This window comes from Homo sapiens, chromosome 20 (genome assembly GCF_000001405.40).
Source record: "Homo sapiens chromosome 20, GRCh38.p14 Primary Assembly".
Lineage (NCBI taxonomy): Eukaryota > Metazoa > Chordata > Mammalia > Primates > Hominidae > Homo > Homo sapiens.
In genome coordinates this window covers 34494247-34514855 of record NC_000020.11, presented here as the reverse complement: position 1 = coordinate 34514855, position 20609 = coordinate 34494247, and the positions used below count along the sequence as shown (strand labels likewise).

Genomic DNA, 20609 nt, shown 5'->3' with positions numbered 1-20609 from the left:
ATGGGTGGGAAAATTGGTGAAATCTGAGTAAGGGCTGTAGTTTAGTGTTATTTTTACCAGTGTTAATTTATTAGTTTTGGTAATTCTAGCATGGTTATATGGGATCATAACATTGGAGAAAGCTGGGTGAAGACTGTGCAGGAACTCTTAACCATTTTTGCAACAGCTCTGTAAATGTAAAATTATTTCAAAATAAATTTTTAAAAGGACTGGATCCAAAGGAATTTCTATTGAATGCTGGAAACATTAGGAAAGCATTTAGCAAGGGGAAGAAGTGCTGCAGAGACTGGACCCTAAAACATCCTGGAAGATAAGCACTGGAAGAATCACCACTGTCTTGCCCATGGAGAACCAGACTGAGAGGAGTGAAAGGATTTTAACAGATTACAATCCCAGAAGCAAAAAAGAGAATGGCCAATAGTTCATGTGACAGGAGCCAAAATGAGAATGAAGGAGGAGCTGGAATAGGACCAAGAATGTCCCGGAGTGGCAGGCTTAGAGTTTTGGCCCGGCGCAGTGGCTCACACCTGTAATCTCAGCACTTTGGGAGGCCAAGGTGGGCGGATCACGAGGTCAGGAGTTCGAGACCAGTCTGGCCAACATAGTGAAAGCCCCTCTACTAAAAATACACAAAAAATTAGCCGGGGGTGGTGGTGTGCGCCTGTAACCCCAGCTATTCGGGAGGCTGAGGCAGGAGAATCGCGTGAACCCAGGAGGCGGCGGTTGCAGTGAGCCAAGATCGCCCCACTGCACTCCAGCCTGGGCGACAGAACAAGACTCCGTCTCAAAAAAAAGAAAAAAAAGTTTTATTCTGCGGTAATGGAGAAACCACTGTAAAATTTTAGGTAGAGGAGGCATGAGACAGGTCTTCCACAGATAATCCTGAGGTAGTACAGAAGATATACTGGAGCGAGGAGGATGGAAAAATGAAGACAGGATGCTGTTATGGTCAGCCAGATTAGGGAGGAAGCACGTGGGCTGTGGCAATGTTGTCAGCTCTGAGAGAACGGATTTTTAAAAGTTTTGGGGCCAGGCGCGGTGGCTCATGCCTGTAATCCAAACACTTGGGAGGCCAAGGCGGGCGGATCACCTGAGGTCAGGAGTTCGAGACCAGCCTGGCCAACGTGGGGAAACCCCGTCTCTACTAAAAATACAAAAATTAGCCGTGCATTGGTGATGGGCACCTGTAATCCCAGCTACTAGGGAGGCTGAGGCAGAATTACTTGAACCCGGGAGGTGGAGGTTGCAGCGAGCCGAGATTGCGCCACTGCACTCCAGCCTGGGCGACAGAGCGTGACTCCATCTCAAAAAAAAAAAGTTTTGGGGATAGATAGGATTTGGAGACTAATTAAATGGAATGGCAAAATTGGTCACATTCGACTCCCAGTGTTGTGGTAAGTAGCAGTACAACAAAAATGGTAAAGTATGCATGCTTTAGAGTCAAACCATCCTGGATTCCAGCCTGTATTCTTTCTACTTAATAGTTGTGGACATGATTCAATCATTTTGAGCCTCTATTTTCTTGTAAAACAGAGATAATCATTACCAATAACAGGAAGACTAAGTGACACTGCACATAGCATATCTACCAGTGTCCTGCACATAGTGATAAATGTTGACAGTTGTTTTGGTATTAAATGAATATGGGTGTGGTACTGGTTGCTATGATATGGAAGACAAATAGAACAACAGGTCTGAATTAGAAGAAAAATAACAGGAGGGCTGTTTTTAGTGATCTTTCAAGTATGACTACAAATTGTCAAGGTCCTTCCCTGTGGGGTGCTTTGAGGAAATCCTCTTGTCCATAGCCACTCTTTGCTTATTAACAGACCCCTGTGCATAAGTGATCAACAGTGTCCTTCTGGGATTTATGTTTAAGGCCCTCTTTTCCTTGCCAACCAGGAATATTCCCCTGGCTCCTCACTCCAGATATCCTGATCACAAAGGAGTCCTATGAACATGGAAGAATTGACAACTGAAATGGGCTGGGAGAGAGAGCAGCTCCTGTACTGGAGTTACATAATGTGAGACAGACACTTAAAAAGTCCAGAGAACAGCCAGTCAGTCACAGCTGAGTCCCAGTTTGATGATTTGTAGGGTTTGGGATGAGAGCCAATGGCCAGTAAGAACAATTACTTACTGACCATTGACCCTCACTTAGCGGGGCATATTTTTCCCCTTATTCTAAGCCACAATGAAACTAGAGCATTCTAGCAGCTTCCATTGGACAGAATAAACAGGATAGGGTCTACTAACTACTCAGGACCTGGGAGGGGCCTGCAGTTTTTGTCCTCTAGTCCATGTTAGATCAGCCGTATTAAAAAATTCCTCTTCCCTTAGTCTCTCTCCACTGGTTCTGTTTTAAATGAGAGCATAATCACCTGAGCTTCCTAATAAGACAAAGTTCTACTGACGCTGGTAACCAGGTCAGCTTGTTGAGAACAGTCTTGGTAACAGTCTTGACAGCTAGCTAGTTGGTGGTTCTCTACTCAGCACTCATGCCTGTGGTCCCGGTCTTTTAGTTGTCTCAGAAAAGCAATTCATATGGAGGCCTTTATGTTGGTTGATGGCCCCTGCAGATATCTTCATCTTCAACATGGGCACCAAATCCAGTCTCATCTGCAACAGCTCTTTCTAGTTTTTTTCTACCCGTACCGTGGCAGGCCAGATCTCAATAACGCAGGCCTCCATAACAACTGTTTCAGCACTGAGTGGTTAAGTTAAATATTAAAAGCTGAAAGAGTGAGGGCCCTTATGCAAAGGCTAGAATGTAACAAAAGGCCACCAAGGGTTTTGCCCAGGCCTTTTCTGGGCCTTGAAGCATGACAAGATAACAAAGGAACCCATTTAGGATTAAACAAGTTTTATTGGGGGTCTGAAGGAACTTATTGAGGGGGTCTGAAGGCCTCCACAAACAAGTTTACTGGGGGTCTGAAGGAAGTCCCCAAACCTCCATGATTTAGCAGGAAACAAGATAAGGGTAATCACCCCAGCACCTGGACCCATTTAGATTAAGTAAATTTACTGAGGCTCCAGAGGAAGGTCTTCAGGGCTCAGATCTTATTTATAGATTTAAAAAAGTGAATCACTTATGTCTTTAGATGAATGTACACTCACATGTAGACATATAGCTTATAATGTAAATAAGCTCTGGAAAACTTTGTAGTTTTGAGTTGGTCTTGGGATCATTTCCAGGCTTTCTCCCCATACCTGGTTACAGAAATAAACTCCCTCCTTTCTCAGTTCATCTGCACCTCATTATTGGGCTGCGAGAATAAGCAGTCCAACCCTTGATTTGGTCTGGGAACAATACCACAATCCAGATGGGCTGTAACTTGCCACTTAAAAAAGCAGAGAGGCAGAAATCTATGTGACCTGGTCACATATAAGTCTCAGAAGGTGGGGCCGGGGAGAGAGGAAAGAGACCCCTCCTTACCCAAGACTGATAGAAAAGCATGCAAATGAAGGACCAAAAAAGTTTAATTATAAACAGTCTTACATCTTGTAGGAAAACGCAAGTGAGGCAACCACTGAAGGAACTTTATAAAAGCATTTGACTCCCTGTAATATTTGTAGCATTACCTGAGTATTAAAAGTAACAGATCAAGAAAACAAAGGTACTCTTAATACAGTAATATACAATCCAGTGCTGCCAATTCCATTTTTAGTTAATGAAAGCAAATTATACAAACAAAGTAAATAACTAAAAGAAAAACAAAAAAAGGAGGGGGGCTGGAGATACCAACAATACTAAATAGAAGTCGTTAACTCTAAAGGAGTTTAGAAAGGTAAGTTACATCCACAACAGGAAAGGATATAAAAATAGAGGAAAAATTTAATTCCGTGAGTCAACCCCGGTAACATTTCGGATTATTAACCAGATAAGTAAAAAGTGGTAGAGTGGGCTTGACTGAAATAGTTCATTTAGGATGAGAACTTTGTGTATAGTTGAGTCAAGTTTCACTAAAATTTCTGATCATTGGTATGTCAATCTCTTGATGAAAAATCAGTACCTGAATATGTCTTTTTGTTTTTTTAAGAGACAGGGTCTTGCTATGTTGCCCAGGCAGGATTTGAACTCCTGGGATCCTCCCACCTCAGCCTCCCGAGTACAATACCTGAATTTTAAATAGAGTTATTGTAAGTCTTATGAAATGAGATTTTGCTGCACTCTGACATAAGATAATAAAAGACAGAGCAGGAATTCATTATTATGAGCTGCTTGATCAGTTTTAAACCACTCCATTTGATGAAACAAGTGAGGTCCTTCCCTCCTGACCAGGCTGTGGAATGCTGTCTTCCCCAACCCCCACCCCCTGCAAAAGAGCAGAACAATAAGGCAATTGCTCATTTTACTTTGTTTTTATTTCAATGTAACATGCAGTAAAAAAAAAAAAAAAAAAAAAAAAAAATTAACAGGATTTATTAGCATTTACAATGCTTACAAAGAAAAAGACTTCTAAAAGCAAGTTAGTTCAGATTTAAGAAAAAGCTCTAAGTAAATACTTACAATAAATCTATTTCCATATGTTCAGTTTGGACCAAAATTTAAGATAGCATTTGGTAGATATTTATGTCTGCGGTCTATTTGCAGTATTTTTATATAACCTCTGATTCTTGGGATATCCAGCCCCCATTTTCCTAACACAGCAGGGAAGACATATACATGTGGCCACTTAAATTAAAGGAAAAAATGGAGTAGGGAGATCCCAGGCTGCAAAAATATATACAAGCATTTACCTTTTCCAGAACTAAACACTTCTTCCATAAAAATATTAAATAGCCAAGCCCTATAGAACTAGGGCCAGGGCTACTTCAAATATAACTATTCTGTATTTTAAAAATATAGGGCAGAAAGCCTTTTGGGTGATATTTATATATTTTCACACAATATTTCTAGGTCCCTAAATGAATCATGAAGCATTATATAGAACCAAAAAAATGTATTTTCTTACATTATCTCTTAATTTAATTTCATAAATCTCTAGTAAATATTGTAGGTAACTACATTTCAGTATGAGAATTCACCTCAACAGGAAGTCTTTATAGAGGGCTTAATCTTCATTAGCCATATATTACCAAGTTCAGACTTATATAATGAACGGGTAGTTGGCAGACATTCGCTCTGTAAGACAAAGCAATAGCGTTTTTTCTCCCTACCAACAAAAAGGCAGAGTCCCTACTTTTAACAACCAGGGCTTTTAGAAACCACACAGTATTTCCTGGGGTACATGAAATAAAAAAACCATAGGGCTGGGGAGAGCCTAGCCTCCCCATTTACACTGAGCTGCTTGATGAGGCAACCCTTTCACTCATGTAAGTCTCTGCTTTATGATGGCAGTATCTTACAGTAGACAAGTTTAAAAAAATGTTTTTATTGTTGTTCCAGGATGTAAAAGGAAGAACATTAGGGACAAAAAATTGTTTTTCTTTTTTCCATATGGAACAGGGTTCTGCTGCTTATTCTTGGCTTAATATTACTTGTTCATGCTATGCCTCTGAAATGTGGCAAAAGTCCCTGATACATGAGCTATGAGGCTGTCCTCAGGGTTCAGCTATGATAGAGACTCAGCTGGCTTAGGCTTCATCCACTGCCAATGAAGTCAAATTTATAACAGCCACCTTGACAGTCGAAGCTAGGCCAAGTTAAAATAATTAATTCCAGAGAACTTCAAAGTGCATTAATCAGTTAATAATGGAGCAATCTAAACTTAAATAGTCGTGAGAAAAAAAGGAAACCCTGTTAAAAATTTTAGGGGTGAAAATATTGCAGATGAGGGTTATCAATCCAGTTCATGACAATGTAAAGAATGGAAATGACTACTCCAACATATGTCAGAGAAATGATAACTTTGAAGACTTTTAATTCACAGAGAATATATTCCTGTGGTTACTGGATGTTATCTTCCTTTCTTTTTAGCCAGTACCACAGCTCTCCCTCTCAAATGAAAATCTGATGTCAAAAGCTGTTTCACTGACCTCTATTTGGACTAGAAAGCACTCTAGTCTTTCTAGTCTTAAACTCCTTAACAATAATTAAATATAACTGAAGTTGTTGGATTATGATAAAACTATAAAGCATCAATTATATAGCGGAACATATAAAAATCACCAGAGACATCTTTAGATGAATTCAATTAAATTAATTCTAATTCTAGGCTAAGTTTTTTTTCCTTTTATTTATTTATCCCCCACCACGCTGCCCAAAAAAAAGACAGGGTCTCCCTATGTTGCCCAGGCTGGTCTTTAACTCCTGGGCTAAAGGGATCCTCCTGCCTCGGCCTCCCAGAGTGCTAGGATTACAGGTATGAGCCACCATGCCCGGCCCTAGGTTAACTTCTTAAAACAATGAAGGAATCACAGTGTTAACATTGTTTGTAAAGTGTAGTATTTGTCAGGCAACTGAAACAATCAGACTTCCAAATGAAGTCATTTGCAGGCTGTGACCAACTTTTCCCTGAATTCAAATTGACAAAACTACTTTGTAGAGATGCAAGAGTCTTGCCTCACTTCCAGGAATGATGTATGGATTCATGCGCCAGAAAGGAAAAACAATAGTCAAGTCAGACTAAAATGAGAGGGAGAACACAAGCCCGAATTTTGCTCACATCCCCAGAAGCAGGAGTAAGCTTGCACTTTTAACAAATGCCTCTTACCAAGAGGCTTAATAGGAAAATCTTGTATATTGCAGTTACCAAAGGACTTCCCTGCATGTCTGCAGAATGTCTAAAAGAAAAAAACACTACTCCCAAGTGAGACTTTTGACACACATAAAATATTGTTGTTAAAGGAATAAACTAGTGGAATAAGACAAGGCAAATTTCATTGTTGTGTTAAAATCTCATGTTAAGCAAGGTTCTGACTAGTCATTTGCAGACCTGATTTCTGGAAACGCTGAGTAGAAATCACTGGGAGATAAATCTAAATGAGAACATTAATTTACTTACACTCAGATAACTCTCTAAAGAGCCATTGTCCAATTTTACAAGATGTGCAACAGGCAGAGAAGGACAAACATTGCAAATAAGTTCTTGCCCATTCATGGTGCAAGTTCTCAGAAGTTACTCTTGTCCAAATCCTTCTGTTTCTTCTATGGCAAACAACAGCTTTTCCTTCAGTTGCTCATAGCTCTTGTATGGTGGCAGGTCCAGGCGATTAAAACTAAAAGCAAGAATTGTTAGTTTGAGAAAAGGAAATATGCAAAGAATCAAATGAGTAGTGTAGTATACTACTTTATACACTACTATAGAAGCACAAAAATATACTACTGTGCTTCAAAGGATACCATCAAGAAAGTGAAATAACCCAAAAATGGGAAAAAATATTTGTAAATCATATATCTGATAAAGGACTGGTATCCAAAATATATAAAAAACTTAAAACTCAACAATATTTAAAAATGAACAAAGGATAGAGATTTCTCCAAAGACATACAAATGACCAATAAGCACATTAAAAAAATGCTCAACATCCTTTACCATGCAAATAAAAACCACAATGAGATACCACTTCACACCTGTTGGGATGGCTATTATTTAAAACACCAAAACAACAACAACAACAACCAAAAAAAAAAAAAAAAAAAAAAAAAACAGAAGAAAACAAGAGTTGAAAAGGATGTGAGGATGTGGAGAAATTGGAGCCCCTCTGCACTACAGGTAGGAATATAACGCAGTGTAGTCACTATGGAAAACAGTATGGCGAGATTCCCCCAAAAAATTAAAAATAGAATTACTACATGATCAAGGAATTCCACCTCTGGGTATATACCCAAAACAACTGAAAGCAGGGCCATGGACAGATATATCTATATTCTACCACAGTATACCTATGTTTATAGCAGCATAAACAGCCAAAAGGTGGAAATAATCTAAGTGTCCATGGACAGATGAATGTATAAACAAAATGTAGTATATCCAGACTATCAAATATTATTCAGCATTAAAAAGGAGGAAATGCTGACACATGCTACAACATGGATGAAAATTAAAGATATTATTCTAAGTGAAATAAGCCAGCCAGGAAAGGACAAATAAGGTACGATTCTACACTTACGAAGTACTAAAGAATCATAGAAACAGTAGTAGAATGATGTTTGCCAGGACCTGGGGAAAGGGAGTCATGGGGAGTCATTGTTTAAAGCAGCAGTCTCCAGCCTTTTTGGCACCAGGCAATGGTTTTGTGGAAGACAATTTTTCCATGGACAGGAGTGGAGAGGGGGATGGTTTCAGGATGAAACTGTTCCACCTCAGGTTAGATTCTCGTAAGGAATGCACAATCTAGATCCCTCACATGCACAGTTCACAATAGTTATTGCTCCTATGAGAATCTAATGCCTCTGCTGATCTGACAAGTGGTGGAGCTCAGCAGGTAATGCTCATTCACCCTCCACTTACCTCCTGCTGTGCAGCCCAGTTCCTAACAGGCTGGGGACCAGGAGTTGGGGACCCCTGCTTTAATGGGTACCATTTCAATTTTACAAGATGAAAAATGTTTTAGGTCTGGCATGATGGCCTGTAATTCCAGCACTTTGGGAGGTCAAAGCAGGAGTATTGCTTGAGCTCAAGAGGTCGAGACCAGCCTGAGCAACAAAGTAAGACTCTGTCTCTACAAAAAGTTTAGAAATTGGCCAGGTGTGGTAGCACATGCCTGTCGTCCCAGCTACTTGGGAGGCTAAGGTAGGAGGACAGTTTGAGCCCGGGAGGTGGAGGGTGCATGAGTGGAGATTGAGCTACAGCACTCCAGCCTGGGTGACAGACTGAGACATGTCTCAACAAAAGAAACAATTTTTGGAGATAGGTGATGGTGATGACTGCATAATGATATGAATGCACTTAATGCCACTGAACTGTACACACTTAAAAATGGTAAATTCTATGTTATGTATATTAAACCCAACAATTAATTTTAAAAAGGAATGAAATACTGTATATGCTAGACCATGGATGAACCTTGAAAACATGCTAAGTAAAAGAAGCTACACACAAAAGGTTGTATATTTTGGCTGGGGGCAGTGGCTCACGCCTGTAATCCCAGGACTTTGGGAGGCCAAAGTGGGTGGATCACGAGGTCAGGAGTTCAAGAACAGCCTGGCGAACATGGTGAAACCCCGTCTCTACTAAAAATACAAAAATTAGCCATGCGTGGTGGTGCATGCTGCCTATAGTCCCAGCTACTCGGGAGGCTGAGGCAGGAGAATCACTTGAACCCAGGAGGCAGAGGTTGCAATGAGCTGAGATCACGCCACTGCACTCCAGCCTGGGTGACAGAGAGAGACTGTCTCCAAAAAAAAAAAAGTTATATATTTATCGTATGATTCATTTTATATGAAATGTCCAGAACAGGAAAATTCATAGAGACAGAAAGTAGATTAGTGGTTACCAAGGGCTACACGGGGTAAAAAGGGAGTGACTGCTAATGGGTACATGGATTTTTGGGAGGGTGAAAAAATTCTGGAATTAGACAGTAATGATGCTTACATAACCTCATAAATATGCTAAAATCACTGAACAGGCCAGATGCGGCAGCTCACACCTGTAATCCCAACACTTTGGGAGGCCGAGGTGGGTGGATCACCTGAGATCAGGAGTTTGAGACCGGCCTGACCAACATGGCGAAACCCCATCTGTACTAAAAATACAAAAATTAGCTGGGCGTGGTCACGGGCGCCTGTAATCCCAGCTGCTTGGGAGGCTGAGGCAAGAGAATTGCTTGAACCTGGGAGGCGGAGGTTGCAGTGAGCTGAGATCAAACCACTGCACTCCAGCCTGGTCTACAAAGTGAGACCCTGTCTCAAAAACAAACAAACAAACAAACAAACAAAAAAACCCCACTGAACCGAACTGCATAATTTAAGAAGGTGAGTTTTATAATCTGTAAATTATATATCAATAAAATTGTTACTTAAACACTACATGCATGTACAAAACATTATGTATAAAAACAAAAAGGAATAGACATTAGTAAAACAGTAAAGAGGTCAGATATCCAGGAAGGACCATATGTGACCACTAAAATATATCCCACAAAATAAGGTTCAAATATTGTTGACATTAGGTTGAATTCCAAAATATTAATATATTTGCTGTCAGATTAGGATTAGATTTAGTTTTCTACATTTTTAGAAATGTAATTAGATTTCAAATGAGAATATTTGTGGTCATGATGTTAGAAAGTAGGTCTCCTAACTTTCTTTTGCTGCCCTCAGAGAAAAGTTAAAATAACTCTAAATCCCACATTAGAAAAAAAATTCAGATGTGAAAAAAGGAATTGATTGCAAATAGTTGTAAGGAATCATACAGGGGTGAACAAAATGCTCTTAAACTGGATTGCTATGATGGCTGTGCTATTCTGTAAATCTACTAAATATCATTTTTAATTTCTAGCTGGCTTTAAATAGCTACAGATAACTGGACAAAAGCTGTTTTCTCTATCCATTCTGATTGTACTTACCAGGTATGACTTCTGGGTAGCCAATTTTCTTTCCCAACTTTTTCAATGCAGAATTTCTGTGGTCCATTGCTCCCTAAAACATAATGAAATCATAAACAGTTTGTTAGTATAGTGGATCTCAAACTGTGTTCCCCAATCCAACAAGCATCAGCATCATGAGGGAACTTGTTAGAACCATAAATCCTCAGGCCCCACACATCATCTTACTAATTCAGAAACTCTGGGTTAGGTGTGGTGGCTCATGTCTGTTATCCCAGTACTTTGAGAGGCAAAGGTGGGCAGCTCACTTGAGGTCAGGAGTTCAAGATCAGCCTGGCCAATATGGTGAATCTTGATCTCTACTAAAAATACAAAAACTAGCCAAGTGTGGTGGCGTATGCCTGTAATCCCAGCTACTCAGGAGACTGAGGCAGGAGAATTGCTTGAATCTGTGCAGCAAAGTTGCAGTGACTCAAGATTGCGCCACTACACTCTCGCCCGGGTGACAGAACGAGACCCTATCTCAAAAAAAAAAAAAACCAAAAAAAAAAAAACCAAAAAAAAAAAAAAACCCAAAAAACCCAAAAGCAACCAACAAACAAAAAAGAAACTCTAGGGGTCAGGCTCAGCAATATGTGCTTTAACAAGCTTCCGGGTGATTCTGGTAAGTGTAAAAGTTTGAAGACTATAGTTTGTTAATATAAGTCCCAAAGGAGAAAATGCAGTTTCATCTAGCATTCTTTAGCCGGAATAACACATTGTTATGATTAATAAAAGCTTACACAAGAACACACAAAAAGCTTAATTTTAGTAGTTTGAAAGACAATAACGAAACTACAATAAAACTTGATTTAAATACAGAATTAATAAAACTTTGTGAAATGTAAATATCCTAGTGAATTCCATATTATTAATGCTGGAACTTACAGGTCCTGTAGGGCATACCCTTACAAAAACAGATACAAGTATAAACATAAAATACTTGCCCCTCATTTACCTGCTGCTGGAGATAGCTGTGAAAAGTGATCATAAAAACACCAGTTTTTTAAAAGATCATTACTTTTCCCTAGGAAGCATTTATTGTTGGTCTCAATGACTGGTAATGCTACTAGATATTTTAATTAGAAGGGGGCAGGAACGCTAACTGTTCTGTAATGTGTGACACTGTCAGACACAAAGAACTTTCTCATGTCCCACCTGACTAAACCCTGTATACTAAGTATACCCAATATAAATTGTTAGTGCTTTTGTATTTAATAACACTGAATTGTTTTCACAAGTAGTTATGTAAAAAGTCCAGTAATATAGGAAACGTTATAAAAAAACACAGTTAAAATTATTCTGTGGTGTTCAACACATAAATTAAAATTAACTCACTCTGCATGTTCTCTCTACTCAATATATATATTTTTTGAGACAGAGTCTCACTCTGTCACCCTGGCTGGATGGCAGTGGCACAATCTTGGCTCAATGCAACCTCCGCCTCCTGGGTTCAAGCAATTCTCATGCCTTAGAGTAGCTGTGATTACAGATGTGCACCACCACACCCAACTAATTTTTGTATTTTTAGTAAAGATGGGGTTTTACCATGTTGGCCAGGCTGGTCTTGAACTCCTGGCCTCAAGTGATCAACCCACCTTGGCCTCCCAAAGTGTTGGGATTACAGGCATGAGCCATCATGTCCACCCTCTACTCAATATTTTATAGCATTTTCTTTTTTTTTTTGAGGCGGAGTCTCCCAGGCTGGAGTGCAGTGGAGCAATCTTGGCTCACCACAACCTCCGCCTCCCAGGTTCAAGTGATTCTCCTGCCTCAGCCTCCCGAGTAGCTGGGATTACAGGTGCCCACTACCACACCCGGCTAATTTTGTATTTTTAGTAGAGATGGGGTTTCACTATGTTGGCCAGGCTGGTCTTGAACTCCTGACCTCAAGTGACCCAACCGTCTCGGCCTCCCAAAGTGCTGGGATTACAGGTGTGAGTCACTGTACCTGGTCACATTTCATTTTTTATAAATTTTTTTTTTTTTTAAGACACAGGGTATCACTATGTTGCCCATGCTTAAGTGCAGTGGCTGTTCACAGAAGCAGTTATAGTGCACTACAGGCTTGAAATCTTGGGCTCCAGCAATTCTCCTGCCTCAGCCTCCAAATAACTGGGACTACAGATGTGTGCCCACCATACCTAGCAGCATATTTAACTACATAGATGGAAAGGAGTTTCATTTAATAATGCACATTAGTATGTAACAGAAAGGATTCTGAATTGCTTTTAATAGATTTAAAATCAAATATTAAAAACTCTGACACTGTCCCTAAACCATACAACTTCTGTGTAGACTTTTGTACCTATGTTCCTATTTTCAGCCACCTTTCAAATGTTATGGTCTCCGAGGCTTTTTTACATGTTAGAGCCTTGGCCTATAGTAGAATTTCATGACAGGAGATATATTCTGATACTATGCTTTTAAGATCTACCTCATTTTTCTCCACCTTGACCATCTATAATTTATTTTTGCAGGTGTATTATTCATACTTTATTTAGGTTACTTCCCTCCTTTTGTTATCACATATACTTAAGTCTATTATTTATCTTTCTCATCTGTTCTTTTATTTTCCAGTACTACTTGTCTTTTTTTTTTTTTTTTTGAGAGATGGAGTTTCGCTCTTGTTGCCCAGGCTGGAGTGCAATGGTACGATCTTGGCTCACTGCAACCTCTGCCTCCCAGGTTCAAGCGATTCTCCTGCCTCAGCCTCCTGAGTAGCTGGGATTACAGGCATGTGCCACCACGCCTGGCTAATTTTGTATTTTCAGTAGAGATACGGTTTCTCCATGTTGGTCAGGCTGGTCTCGAACTCCCAACCTCAGGTGATCCGCCCGCCTCAGCCTCCCAAAGTGCTGGGATTACAGGCGTGAGCCACCGCACTCAGCCCTTCCAGTACTTCTTATAGAGAATGGCTTTTGATCTTGTCTTAAACCTTTTCTTATAAGTAGGAACAAATATTTGACTTCTTAGGTATATCTTCTAACATAGTTGTCCCCAAATAGACATGTATTAAAACACATATTATTTCATTATAAATTACCTAAAAAATTTAATCCCTTATATTACAGTTAAGGCTATGTATAAGTATTTTCTAGGGATTGTCAATAGGTTATTTCATCCATAAATCAGTGTATTAAAGGGGATATTATGAATATATATTAATAAAAGTGGGATGTTGGATCCATCCCCAAGGTCAAGAAGCATCCCATTAAAGAATTACATACACCACCTCTAAAACTTTCTCTTCCTGTGCTGGGTGGAAGTTTAAACTAGATGGCTGCCTCTGCAGAAACCTTACAGACCAGGAGAGAATGAGATAATATTCAAAGTACTGCAAGAAAAAAATTGGCAGCCAAGATTACTATACCCAGCAAAACCATCCTTCAGACATACAGGAGAAATACAGTATTTCCCAGACATGGGGAAATAGAAGGAATTCATCACCTTATGAAAAATGCTCAACGGACTCCCACATCTGGAAGTGAAAAGATGATAATCACTCTCATGAAAATACACAAAAAGTATTAATATAACACTCTGGTAGAGCAGATACACTAAGGGAAAAAAGAACCAAACCTTAGCACTATAGAAAACCACAAAAACCATAATGATAAACAATGAGAGAAAGAAAGGAACGACGGATATATAAAGCAACCAGAAAGTAATTTTAAAAATGACAGGAGTAAGTCCTGATCTATCAGTAATAACCTTGAATATAAGTGGATAAATTCCCTACTAAAAAGATATAGACTGGCTGAATAGATTTAAAAAGAAAAATGACCCAACTATCATATGCTGCCTCCAAGAAACTTGCTTTACCCGTAAAGACACATACAGACTGAAAAGGAAGGGATGAAAAAGATATTTCATGGAAATGGAAATCCAAAGTGAGCAGGAGTAGCTATACATATATCAGGCAAACAGACTTTAAATCAAAAACTATAAAAAGAGACAAAGGGCATTCTATAATGATAAAGGGACCAATTCAACAAGAGGATATGAGAGTTATATATGCACCCAACACCAAAGAACCCAGATATAAAAAGGAAATATTATTATATTAAAAGGGAAAGACAGACTCCAATACTAGTTGGGGACTTCAATATCCACTCTTAGCACTGGATAGATCATCTAGACAGAAAATCAACAAAGAAACATTGGATTTAAACTGTACTTCAGACCAAATGAACCTAACAGTCATTCATAGAACATTTCATCCAACAGCTTCAGAATACACATTCTTGTCATCAGCACATGGAACATTCTCCTGGGGAAACCACATATTAAGACCCAAAACAAGTCTCAACAAATTTAAAAGAACTGAAGTCATAATGTCAAATATATTTTCTGAACACAATGGAGTAAGACTAGAAATCAATAAAAAGAGGAACTTTCAAAATTGTATAAATACATGGTAATTAAACGTGCTCCAGAATGACCAATGGGGAAATGTAAAAGGAAATTTAAAAATTCCATGAAACAAATGCAAATGGAAACACAATATATTGAAAATTATAAAATATAGCAAAACCAATATTAAAAGGTAATGTTATAGCAATAAATGCCTACATCAAAAAAGTGGAAAGATTTTAAACAAATGACCTAATGATACACTTTGAGAAACCAGAAAAGAACAAAGCAAACCCAAAATTACTAGAAGGAAAGAAATAATAAAGATCAAAACAGAAATAAACAAAAATGAGGCTAAAAATGAAGACAAAAGATAGATGAAATGAAAAGTTGTTTTTTTTTTCTGAAAGGATAAACAAAATTGACAAACCATTAGCTAAACTAACCAAGAAAAGACCCAAATAAATGAAATCAGAAACGAAAAGGGAGACATTACAACTGACACCACAGAAATACAAAGGACCTTTAGAAATTATTATGAACTACACACCAACTTAGAAAACCTATGGAAATTGATACATTCCTGGACACATACAACCTACCAAGACTGAACCAAGAAAAAGCAGAAAAGCTGAAAAGATCAATTATAAGTAACATGACTGAATCTGTAATAAAAAGTCTCCCATTTGCACTCCAGCCTGGGTGTCAGAGCAAGACTGTCTCAAAAAAAAAAAAAAAAAAAAAAAAAAAAAAAAAAGCTGGGCACAGTGGCTCACGCCTGTAATCCCAGCACTTTGGGAGTCCAAGGCGGGCGGATCACAAGGTCAGGACATCGAGACCATCCTGGCTAACGCGGTGAAACCCCGTCTCTACTAAAAAGACAAAAAATTAGCCGAGCATGGTGGCAGGCGCCTGTAGTCCCAGTTACTCGGGAGGCTGAGGCAGGAGAATGGTGTGAACCTGTGAGGCGGAGGTTGCAGTGAGCCGAGATCGTGCCACTGCGTTCCAGCCTGGGTGAAAGAGCAAGACTCTGTCTCAAGAAAAAAAAAAAAAGTCTCCCATCAAAGAAAACAAAAGTCTAGGAACCAATGGAATTCTAACAAACATTTAAAGAAGAACTAATACCAATTCTTTTCAAGCTCTTCCAGAAAATAGAAGAGAGAATTTTTTGAAACTCATTCTACAAGGCCAGCGTTACCCTGATACCAAAACTAGACAAGGATACAAGAAACAAAAACAAAAAAAAAGGAGGAAAAGAAAAGAAAAGAAAACTATAGGCCAATATCCTTGATGAACACAGATGCAAAAATCCTCAATGAAATACAAGCAAATCAAATTCAGCAACACATTAAAAAGATCCAAAGGTTGCAAGGATGGTTCAACATATACAAATCAATGAACATAACAAAGTATATCAACAGAATGATGGGCTAAACCATATGATCTTCTCAATAGATGCAGAAAAAATATTTAATAAAATCCAACATCACTTCATAAGAAAAACTCTCAACAAGTTAGGCACAGAAGGAATGTACCTGAACATAATAAAGGCTATATATTACAAATCCACAGCCAACATCATACTGAACAGAGAAAACTAAAAGCTTTTCCTCCAAGATATGGAACAAGACAAGGGTGCCCACTTTCACCACATTTATTCAACAAACTGCTGGAAGTCCCAGCCAAAGCAATTAGATAAGAGAAAGAAATAAAGGGCATCAGAATTAGGAAGAAGTTGAACTATACCTGTTCGCAGACAACATGACCTTATATACAGAAAACCTTAAAAACTCCACCAATAAAAAATTATTGGAACTGATAAACACATTAAGTAAAGTTGTAGGATACAAAATCAACATACAAAAATCAGCAGCGTTTCTATAAAACAACAAACTAGAAGAAAAAGAAATCAAGAAAGCAATCCTACTTACAATAGCTACAAACAACAAAAACCTAGAAATAAATTTAACCAAGGAGGTGAACGATCTCTACAGCAAAAACTATAAAACACTGACAAAAGAAACTGAAGAAAACACACAAAAAATGTAAAGACATCCCATGTTCATGGGTTGAAAAATTAATACTCCACTAATAACCGTACTATTAAAAATTTCTACAGATTCAATGCAATCCCTACAGAAATACCAATGACGGCTGGGTGTAGTGGCTCATGCCTGTAATCCCATCACTTTGGGAGGCCAAGGTGGGCGGATCACCGGAGTTCAGGAGTGCAAGACCAGACCAGTCACATGGCGAAATGCCATCTCTACTAAAAATACAGAAAGTGGCTGGGTGTGGTGGCATATGCCTGTAATCCCAGCTACTTGGGAGGCTGAGGCACAAGAATCACTTGAACCCGGGAGGCAGAGGTTGCAGTGAACTGAGAATGTGCCACTGCACTCCAGCCTGGGTGACAGAGTGATACATTCCATCTCAAAAAACAAAAACAAAAACAAAAACAACCAATGACATTCTTCACAGAAATAGAAAAAACAATCCTAAAACTCATACTGAACTACAAAGGATCCTGAATAGCCAAAGCCATTCTGAACAAAAAGCTGGAGGCATCACACTACTGGACTTCAAGATATACAACAAAGCTATAGTAACCAATACAGCATGGTACTGGCATAATAGCAGACACATAGACCAGTGGAACAGAAGAGAGAACCCAGAAACAAACCCACATATTTACATCCAACTGATTTTCAATAAAGACACTAAGAACAATCATTGGCTGGGCACAGTGGCTCATGCCTGTAATCCCAGCACTTTGGGAGGCTGAGGCAGGCAGATCACAAGGTTAGGAGTTCAAGACCAGCCTGACCAACATAGAGAAACCCTATCTCTATTAAAAATAAAAAAACTAGCCAGGTGTGGTGGTGCGTGCCTGCAATCCCAGCTACTCAGGAGGCTAAGGCAAGAGAATTGCTTGATCCTGGGAGGCGGAGGTTGTGGGGAGCCGAGATCTCGCCACTGTACTCCAGCCTGGGCAACGGAGTGAGACTCTGTCTCAAAAAAAAAGAACAATCATTGGGGGAAAGGACACTCTCTTCAATAAATGGTACTGGAATAACAGAAATCTATATGCTAAAAATGAAAGTAGACCCCTTTCTCTCATAACGTACAAAAATCAACTCAAAATGGATTAAACAGGAAAAATGCTTCAGGGCACAGGTCTGAGCAAAGATTTTTCTTTTCTCTTTTCTTTTTTTTTTTTTTTTTTGAGATGGAGTGTTGCTCTTCTTGCCCAGGCTGGAGTGCAATGGCACGATCTCGGCTCACCTCAACCTCCGCCTCCTGGGTTCAAGTGATTCTCCTGCCTCAGCCTCCTGAGTAGTTGGGATGACAGGCACGCGCCACCACGCCCAGCTAATTTTTGTATTTTTAGTAGAGACAGGGTTTCTCCATGGTCAGGCTGGTCTTGAACTCCCGACCTCAGGTGATCCACCCGTCTCGGCCTCCCAAAGTGCTGGGCCTACAGGCACGAGCCACCACACCTGGCCCTGAGCCAAGATTTTATAAAGAGGACATAAAAAGCACAGGCAACAAAAATAAAAATAGACAAATTGGGTTATATGAAACTAAAAAGCTTTGGCATAGCAAAGGAAACAATCAACACAGTGTAGAGACAATCTGCAGAATGGGAGAAAGTATATGCAAACAATTCATCCAACAAAGAATATCCAGAATATACAAGAACTCAACAGCAAAAAAGAAGAAAAACAATGCATTAAAAAATGGGATATGAGCTAAATAGATATCTCTCAAAATAACAATGTTAAACATAACTAATCATCAGGGAGATGCAAATCAAAACCACAATGAACTATCATCTCACCTCAGTTAGAATAACTGTTACAGATTAAAAAATAACAAATGCTGGCAAGGATGTGGAAAAAGAGGAACTCTTATATACTGTTGGCAGGGATGTAAATTCTTCTTCTTAACTTCTTGAGACAGAGTATTGCTCTGTCACCCAGGCTAGAGTGCAACCTCTGCCTCCCAGTTTCAAGCAATTGTTGTGCCTCAGCCTCCCAAGCAGCTGGGATTACAGGCGTGTACCACCACTCTCAGCTAATTTTTTTTTTTTTTTTTTTTTTTTTTTAGTATTTTCAGTAGAGACAGGGTTTCACTATGTTGACCAGGCTGATCTCAAACTCCTGGCCTTAAGAGATCCACCCATCTCAGCCGCCCAACAACCATATGATCCAGCAATCCCACTATGGGGCATTCATCTAAAGAAAAGGAAATCAGTATGTCGAACAGACATCTGCACTCCCATGTCTACTGCAGCACCATTCACAAGGGCCAAGATAGGGAATCAACTTATGTGTCCATAATCAGGTAAACGGATAAAGAAAATGTGGTGTATAAACAAACTGGAATACTTCAGACATTTTTTAAAAAAGCAAAATTCTGTCATTTATGACAACATAGATGAACATGGAGGACGTTTTAAGTGACATAAGCCAAGCACAAAAAGATAAATACTACATGCTGTCACTCGTGAAAGCTAAGAAAGCCGATCTCATAGAAGTACAAAGTGCAACAGTGGTTACTACAGAAGGGTGGCAGGAATGAGGGGAGAGCCAAAGGTTGGTTAATAGATGCACAAGTACAGATCGGCAGGAAGAATAAGTTCTAGTGTTCTATAGCACTATACAATGACTATAATCAACAACAATTTACCGTGTGTGTGTGTGCGTGTGTATATATATATATATATATATATTTTATTTATTTATTTATTTATTTATTTTTGAGTTGGAGTTTTGTTCTTGTCGCCCAGGCTGGAATGTAGTGGCATAATCTCGACTCACTGCAACCTCTGCCTCCCAGGTTCAAGTGATTCTCCTGCCTCAGCCTCCCAAGTAGCTGGGATTACAGGCTCCCACCACCTCACCTGGCTAATTTTTTTTTTTTTTTTTTGTATTTTTCGTAGAGAAGGGGATTTACCACGATGGCCAGGCTGGTCTCGAACTCCTGACCTCAGGTGATCCGCCTGCCTCGGCCTCCCAACGTGCTGGGATTACAGGCGTGAGCCACCGCGCCCAGTGTATGTATTTTTAAGATAGGGTCTCACTCTGTCACTGAGACTGTAGTGCAGTGGCATGACCTTGGCTCACTGCAACCTTCACCTCCAAGGCTCAAGTGATCCTCCCACCTCAACCTCCTGAATAGCAGGGACTACAGGCATGTACCACCACGCTCAGCTAACTTCTAAATTTTCTGTAGAGACAGGGTTTCCCTATATTGCCCAGGCTTGTCTCAAACCCCTGGGCTCGTGTGTTCCTCCTGCCTCAGCCTCCCAAAGTGCTGGGATTACAGGTGTGAACCACTGCACCTGGACTGTATGTTTATAAATAGTTAGAAAAGTGAGTTTTGAATGTTCCCAACACAAAGAATTGATAAATGTTTGAGGTGATGGATATCCTAATTACCCCAATTTGATCATTATATATTGTATACATGTATCAAAATAAAAACTGTACCCCTAAATGTGTACAATTATGTCAATTAAGAATAATTTAAAAAGTAAAAAAGAATAAAGATTTGAAACTAAAACAAACAAAATAAACTAGATAGCCTCTAAAATTCTCCAAACCACAATCTCACTGTTTCTGTCTCCTAACAAAAACTTTCCTAGAAATCACCCTTCTGAGACCTCTCTGTAGCACTGAAGAAAAAAATTCCTTCTAATTGCTTCTCAGACAGTATACTATTTCTTTCTTCTTTTCACTCTCTGGTCTCTCCTTTAAATTGGCTTCCAGACTAATTCC

The 20609-nt window shown here is 39.3% G+C and overlaps 1 protein-coding gene across 13 annotated transcripts in view, besides 1 other annotated feature; it reads right to left on the bottom strand.

The window, feature by feature from the left end:
• Nucleotides 1878-2172: a silencer, noted in NCBI's record as "tiled region #10290; K562 Repressive non-DNase unmatched - State 14:Gen5'". NCBI's record gives its function as "represses a minimal TATA promoter and a strong SV40 promoter by Sharpr-MPRA in K562 cells {active_cell/tissue: K562}" and the evidence as "EXISTENCE:reporter gene assay evidence [ECO:0000049][PMID:27701403]".
• Nucleotides 3083-20609, bottom strand: part of ITCH (itchy E3 ubiquitin protein ligase) — a 148501-nt gene continuing 130974 nt past the window's right edge. For all 13 annotated transcript variants that reach the window (NM_001324197.2, NM_001324198.2, NM_001257137.3 and 10 more), the window contains 2 exons: nucleotides 10453-10525; nucleotides 3083-7161 (listed from right to left, as the gene is read on the bottom strand). In NM_001324197.2, the coding sequence (NP_001311126.1) occupies nucleotides 7062-7161; nucleotides 10453-10525 (173 nt within the window). In that variant the 3' untranslated portion in view covers nucleotides 3083-7061. The remainder of the gene's footprint in view (nucleotides 7162-10452; nucleotides 10526-20609) is intronic.